This window comes from Homo sapiens, chromosome 21, assembly GCF_000001405.40.
Source record: "Homo sapiens chromosome 21, GRCh38.p14 Primary Assembly".
Lineage (NCBI taxonomy): Eukaryota > Metazoa > Chordata > Mammalia > Primates > Hominidae > Homo > Homo sapiens.
In genome coordinates this window covers 15,184,250-15,192,195 of record NC_000021.9, presented here as the reverse complement: position 1 = coordinate 15,192,195, position 7,946 = coordinate 15,184,250, and the positions used below count along the sequence as shown (strand labels likewise).

Here is a 7,946-nt window from a genome sequence, read left to right as displayed (position 1 = left end):
CGCCTGTCCTCCCCTCAAATATCTTTGTTCTTTTAAATCCTATCCCGTCCTTATTCCTTTTCCCTTTACTATTTTCTACAACCTAAAAGTTGGCTCAGCCTAGAAATAGTACCGGGTAGAAAAATCTTAATAGGGTATATGGTCATGGGTAAAGAGATGGTTGCAAAATATATTGTTGGAATGAGTTGGGGATAGGAGCTGAAATCGGGGAGAAGTCCCATTACTCTGGTAACAAAAAACATATAAAGAGTGAGAGAAGGAAAATCAAATCACCATTTATTACAAATACATCTTCAAACTTGGTTCAATAGTTGTCTCTAAAGCCACTATGTTACAAGATTTTGTTAATGATTTTAGTTTTTTCTAAGTTAAACAAGTAATGCTTGTTCCTTGTAAAAAAAATCAAATAATACAGAAGTCTAAAAAAAATGTAAAACCTCCAAAACCTGATTCCCTGGAAGGAAAAATTGATTACAACTCGGTACTTTTTTGGACTTGCAAATTTTTACATACATGTATTTTTTCAACGTATAATACAAAATATATAAAGGGCCCCTTCTTTTAAAAAGAATTACTTTATTCTTTTGTATGAATAAGATAAAAATAAACATACTCTCAGCATACACTTTACTCTTACTCATGAACATCGTAATTGTTCATATTTGAGGTATATAAATTTGACATTTAATAGGCAACTCTCTACAAATTATTATTTATGAGTCAAAATTTAGTTTATTCAAAAAACGGTGACTAAAAAGCATGATATCTGTTCTTATGCAGCTTAAATTCTATTTGGAAAATAAAGCCACGCCAAAGAAATATTAAAACAAAAATATCAGGAATAAATGCTAATAAAATAATGAAAATATCATAACGTGAAAGAGTGACTGTGTATCTACTTTACATTTTTATGGTATCTCTTTTAAGTCTTATCCACCAAGAAAAAAACTAAAGTATGAGTTTTATACTGTAGTTTTGTACAATTAAATTCTCAAGATTCAAAAATACCTTCCAAATGCTAGCAATTAGGCGTATAAACTCTCGTAGGCTTTGTGCAATGGTATCCTGTAAGGCCAGCTCTTTCTAAGTCAATCACTATGGGTCTGATTGACCTTGGCAGTATTACAGGGTCATATTTTTACATGGCTGAGCTGTTCTTGAACAATTTCTACAATGTACTAGGTACAAATAGTCTTTTCTTCAGCACAAGGCATGCGTGTCTTATCTTCTCACCCATTCTTCTCCTCACTGCCACTCCACCCCACCTTTTCTTTCATTACTTTTATGAAAGAAAAACTATTGTAGGACATGTAAAGAAAACTCGTCCCCACGGGCTTTTTTTCTTTCAGCCTGCCCTTTCTTCATGCTATGTTATAGTTGAAATACTGCACTTGTGGACTCCTGGTTTATTCTTAAGATGGATTTTATTTGTGAGTTTATCTGGTTGTTTTGTGGCTCCAATATCGCAAAGAATAACCTCTTTTCATTTTCATCAGAGGAAGGACAAGAGCTGGAAAGGGATGTGGTTCTATCAGCAATTCGCCTAGGAAAAATTTCAATGTTTTTCTAAACTGTTCTACAAAGGAATTGCAATGTCATCACAAAAAAAGACTGAGATTACAGTTCTTAACTATCAAATATCTCCAATAAAATATAATTTTTAAATAAAGAAATAAGACCCATTTCCATGAAGGCAATCTTTTATTTCCTTTATGCTTCAACCCAGCATAGTGTGGGGCGGAGGGGAGAGGAGAAAATATTAAACTAGAAACCAAGGTTGTCAGGCAGGATCAAAGCAGCATCCCCGGTGGCATGTTCAAATAGGTGATTGAGAGTTTAAAGAAAAGGTAATTGACAAAAGTGTGGACAGGCTAAAATGAAGCCAACAAGGAACAGTAAAATATTGAGGGGGCCAGTTTTGCCACTCAACTGGCTGCAATGGCAAAAGAAAGTTGGGCAGCTACGGAGGCTGATGTAGAAAAGGGCGCCGATGGGAGCTGCAAACTTCACCGAAGTACCCAGCCAGCTCACACGCAGCTCGGTAGAGCGAGTTGGGGAAGTAAACATCCCAGCTTCACTCTTCTTGAAGTCTGCATCTCCTGATGGTGCCTCCCATTGGTGGAACTCAACTGGAAACCTGAGGACAAATGAGCTTGTGGGTGCAGCTCATCCAGGTCAACCTCTCAGGGCAGAGAGCTGTGGGGAGAGGAATAGAGAAAATGTGCAGGGCAAAGAAGGTAACCGGCCCATCAGATGCTGCTGCACATGAAATCTCAAGGTCCTTGGGCCTTTCTTTCCTCTCTAGGCAAGGTAGAGGCCAACGGTCATCCCAATTGCCAATATTCTGTAGATTTTTCCTTTATTCTGTATGGCTTATTTGAAGAGGAGGAAGTAAAGGGCTGAAAAAAATAGTTGAAAATGACATCAAAATGCTTTTCAAAATTCTCAACATCTTTCTTTCCTTTCTTCTCTGATATATTCCAGGGGTGATTTTTTTTGCCCCATCATTAAAAAAAGGTTTATGGGTAATTAAAATATTTTTAGTAAAACATGAATGTATCACATGGGGGTAATCTAAGTGTGCCAGATTTAAAAATAGTTTAACTTTCATGTAGTATTTCCATAATATCAATATGAATATGAAATGTTTATAGCATTAATTTGCCATTTTCACATTTTTCCTTATTTAGTATGAGTATTTATCAAAATCCCAGAGCATTGACAGCTTTTGTTCTCCACTAAATTGTGAGCTCCCTTAGAGGAGTCCACATGTATTTTTGTGTCTCCTAGAATCTGTGTAATGGGTTTAGACGTGATTTCATAGAGACTAATTTTAGTCTCATTATTGTATGTTAAGCACTATGCTAAGTGCCTTTTAAACAATCATCTACTTCAATCACCAAAACAACCCTACAAGTTTTCAGATGAGAAAATTTAACTTTAGAAAGGTTAAATAACTTGCCCCAGGTCATGCAACACTATCTTACAGCTAGGAGCTAGCCTGGGTCTGGATGACTGCCATGTTTTTTTCATTTCTAATGAATACATGAAACTGCCACTTAGAAGTACATAAGACAAGGAGGAGTGCAACTTTCTACAGTGCCTGGCAAGACTCACTAAAGACATTGAAGGTGGGATTATAATAAGTATCATTATCATTATGCTGAGGAATATGAAAACATTCCTACACTCACGTAGGTAAATTGTGGTAGGGAGTATTAGATAATTACTCAAATGACTATAATGAAGGTAGAATAAAGAAAGGATCATAAGGCAAGTACAAAAATACATGTGAGTGTGGTGGCCCATTGAACAATGAATAGGATTTCAATAGCTAGAAGATGAAAGAATGTCATTCCAGGTGGAGAGAACATTTTGAACAAAGGCAGTGAGGCTGGAACACCCAAGGTGTTTACAGGGATCAACAAGAAATTTAATGATGGGAGCATGAGGAGGTATAGGGAACGAGGAAAGAAAGGACTGGAAAAGTAGGTTGGAGCCTGGTGATTAACCTACTTGATTGTATTATCATCCAGTAAATATTTCCAGAACTTGTTGACAAGAGAGCTCATCAAGTGCTACGATGAAATCTTAAAAACATTTTTATCGAGTGGATTTCTCTGATCTACTAAATTAACAACCTTGGGGAAAAAAAAGAAAATGAACTCAGTATGATGAAGAACCCCCAGTCCTACTCTCTTCCAATGTGTCTTCTACACAAAAGTGGGTGCGAACATTTTAAGATTCAAATCTGATTATGTCACATTTTCCTTTAAGCATTTTATTTGCATTTCATTTCCTAAATTCAACACGCTGACCTCTTCAACCACATCGTTTACCATACCCCATCTTTAAGAGGTTCCGCCTGCACCATGCTTCTCTCTGTTTCCTAGATGTGCTCTTCCATGTGGGCGGAGCACTCCTCCCTCACACCTCCATGCCTGGCTGAGCTGTCTTTCAGGTTCCAACCCAGCTGTTCCTTCTTTTATGAAGTCGTTCCTGCAGCCTCGTTGGTGGACTCCATCCTGCACAGCTCCCATAGGGCCATTTTTTATGTACCTCCATTTGTGCACTTGCCACATTATTTTGTCATGTTAATTTAAATTCCAGAGGCTGTTTTAGGGGGCGGGGGGGAACAGAGTCTCACTCTGTCTCTCAGACTGGAGTACAGTGGCACCATCTAGGCTCACTGCAAGTTCCGCCTCCAGGGGCTTTTAAAACTTGTTTTGACATTCCCACTTCCTGGAGCAAAGTAGGTGCACAGTAGGTGTTTACTGAATTTAAAAAATAAATGAAATAGTGGCATTTTCCTTGTGAGCAGACTTAGCTTGAAAGTCATAGAACCAAGCTCTGTGCTTAGATAGTGAAATGGTTTGGATTTGTGTCCCTGCCCAAATCTCATGTCGATTTGTAATCCCCAGTGTGGAGGTGGGGCCTGGTGGGAGGTGTTTGGATCATGGGAGCAGATTTCCCCTTTGGTACTGTTCTAATGCTAGAGTTCTTCTGAGATGTGGTTGTTTAAAAGTGTGTAGCACCTCCCCACTCCCTCTCTTCCTCCTGCTCCGGGCATGTGAAGATACCTGCATCTGTTTTGCCTTCTGCCATGTGTAAAAGCTCCCTGAGGCCTCCCCAGCCATGCTTCCTGTACAGCCTGTGGAACTGTGAGCCAATTAAAACTCTTTTCTTTATAAACTACACAGTTTCTGGCATTTCTTTATAGCAATGTGAGAACAGACTAATACAGATGGTAAGACTTTCAGCACCTATGACTGATGGGTCATGATGGGATAGCTCATAACTTCTCACCCCCTTCTATCCAATCTCTGAAATGGTTGTCAAGGTAACTTCTGTATTCTTAATCTGTCTAGATGGCTATAGTATGGTCCCATAATTATAGCATTTGTATACTGTTATTTTTACTTTAAATATTTTCAAAGGTGCTTTCTTCTCAGCTTGTAGATTTTTGAGGAATTCTGTTTTTGAAAGGTATGTTATTTCATCTTTATACTTCAGTCTCGTATCCCAACTCATTATGTTGTGAGATTATAGTTCCTGCTCTTTTTCTCCCAAGAATTACTGGAAATCACCCAAACCACTCTTTTTTGGAATCACAAGTGTAGTTTTCTGTTGTAACAAGTTTGCATTTTTTTCATGGCTCCTTCCCACTCATTCCTGTTACCTTCAGAATTCAGTGCAGAACTACTTGGGGGAGGGCTGTATAATCCATCCTAATCAATTTTTATCAAACTGCGTGCTGTACATGCTATTTTAATATATTTATTATTGATACATCTTCGGGTTAAAAAATAATTTGAGAACTAATTTTAAAATTTTATTTAATGATTCTCACTTAAGAATAGCTTGATTCAACTAATTAAGAATTGAGTTGTATATGATTGCTTATTCGAAGATAATTTCCTCAATAGCCAAATCTTATCTCCATCAGATTTTATTCCCAAATATTGTTTTTCTTCCTGGCATTCAACAAGTTAACTTGTTTTTAAACTCACCTTAATGTAGCTCTGAAATAGAGAGGCATGCTGTGGTTCTGGCTCTTCTTATGGACCAAGAAAAGAACAAGTGAAAAGAGATTCCCAAATCCAAATGTTTAAATCTTATTTAGGCAACTAAGTACTTCTTTAAATGAAGTAGACTACCTAAATCAGACAAGCATACCCTGTCATCCAGACCTTATTTTAAATCATTTAAATAATGAAATCTACTAATACTCATATGTGATTGAGATTAGGGTTCTGAAAAATTATGAAAACAAGTTAAAACATGGGGATGATGAGATGATTGTAGAGAACAGACCACTTCAGGGAGGGAGGGGGGTGTAGGAGGAGTATCCTGTGACATGGACAGTTAGTGGCCTCTCTGCTGCATCTGTCTTCTTCTAATGGGATGGTCACCTGAAGGAACGGACAAGAAAGAGGGGGAGAGTCAAAGTCAAATAGTTGAGTTTAGGATATTGGAGCCGGTTGCTGTAACAGCCTGTGAAGTGTTAGGCATCATACAGAGTGACCCATCAGGCACCCTTCTCTTAGGTCACTTGTTTATTCTTATGACCAATTTTATTTGTTTTGAAGAAAGGAAAGGTTAACATCTTAAGGACCTAGTGCTAGAACTCATGACGTGGTAACCAATTCAGAGACATTGTGGGTTCACATTTGACCTTCTATACTTGTTGAAAGTTAATATGAGTGGAGTACTCAAATATTATTCTTTAAACCCAAGCAACCATGAGCTCCTTCTTATCCATATGCATATGTATGCATGTGTCCATTTGTGCCACTATAACAAAACACCAGAGACCAGGTGACTTATAAACAACAGAAATTCATTTCCCTCAGTCCTACAGGATGGAACTCAGGTCAGGGTGCCAGCATGATTGGGTTCTGATGAGGGACTTCTCCAGGTCATAGACTGCCTGCTTCTCCTTGTCCTCTCAACGGTTGGAAAGAGAGCAAAAGAGCTCTCTGGGTTCCTTTTTATAAAGGCACTAATTCCATCATGAGGGCTCCACTTTCATAACCTAGGTACCTCCCAAAGGCCACGCTTCCAGTACCATCACCTTAGGGTTAGGATTTTGACATATAAATTTTGGAAGGACACAAACATTCAATCCATAACAGCATGTGTCTTTGAATGACTATTCCTCCTACCTTTCAAGCTTTCTTATTTGCATGCTGTGTGATTCAGTCATCCTGGTATGGACCTTTCTTATGGTCACCCCATTTTATTTGACATTTTCCTAAGAATATTACAGGCCCTCTAGATACACCATTTTGCCTGATGGTAGGCACTAAAGACTTACCTCATTGAAAGAAAAATGAATCTATTTTTCTGCAGAAAAACCAGAATTAACCAAGAGGATAATTTCCAACAACATTAATGTCAAATTTAGTGAAATAAAATGTCATTATACAACTAAAAATAAGGTAATGCATATACATGGTTATTTTAAATGAAAATATTTATTGAGTATCTCTCTGTGCCAGGCACTGAACATATGCTCCTTAGAGCTCCTCTGATCATGCTGCAAAGCAGATATTATGAATTTAATTTGTAGATGAAGAGCCAGATACTCAGTGAAACCACGTAACTTGTCCCAGATTTCTCAGCTAATTAGTAATTGGCTAAATTCTGGTTGGTTCCCATGTGTGTCATATTTCAAAGATTCTTTTCTGTATCATCCCGATTTACCCACCTTACTGGATCTCTACAGAATAATAATCTCTTCTCTCCTCATACCAGGAGGAAGGTTGATCTGCAACAACCTTGGTTAAAATGGAGGAAGCTTCTTCTCCTCTCAGTAGCGACTCCTATCAAGTAGCACAGATGTCATATAATAACTGCTTGAGATTACTTCCCTCATTTTTTCTCTCCAAGTTGACTCAACGGTGGGAGCATGGGGTGAGTTAGTTCTAGTTCAGCAGCCCCAGGCCAGACAACTTCAGTAGCCTACTGAGTCTTGTTTTTCTCTCCCTATCCATTCATCCATTCATTCATCCACCCATATTTAATCCCAAAATTTTATGTCAGGAACTATGAAATGTGTTAGGAATTCAAAGAAACAGATCTTTCCTTCGAAGAGATAAGAGTCTAGGAAGGGAGGAGATTGTAAATTGATACAAAAACAAGAACATGTCAAAGCGCTAGTAAAGGTGCAAAGGAGGAAGGGATCACCTCTTCTTGATGGGTCTCAGAAGGCTTTACAAAAGAAATGGTTGAGCTTTCTCAGCAGCCACTAAAACAATGAAGAGTCAGGAATTTTCCCCTACCTGGGCCAACTTTGCCCAAAGTATGTTTTACCCACAGAAGTTGTGAACAATTGAGGTATCACCATGCTTCTTTGTCAGTCTATCATGGGACACAGTGTCGATGCATGTCACGTCTCATCTCTACAATACCAGGGAGGATCTTTGTTATGTGGAGGTGTACAT

At 38.2% G+C, this 7,946-nt stretch overlaps 1 long non-coding RNA gene across 1 annotated transcript; it reads right to left on the bottom strand.

The window, feature by feature from the left end:
• Positions 1-1,689: 1,689 nt before the first annotated feature.
• LOC124905047 (uncharacterized) lies at positions 1,690-7,141 on the bottom strand. Its single transcript, XR_007067916.1, has 2 exons — positions 3,517-7,141; positions 1,690-2,399 (listed from the first exon to the last, which is right to left on the bottom strand). It is a non-coding gene; the product is annotated as an uncharacterized LOC124905047 (long non-coding RNA).
• Between the last annotated feature and the right edge of the window lie 805 nt (positions 7,142-7,946).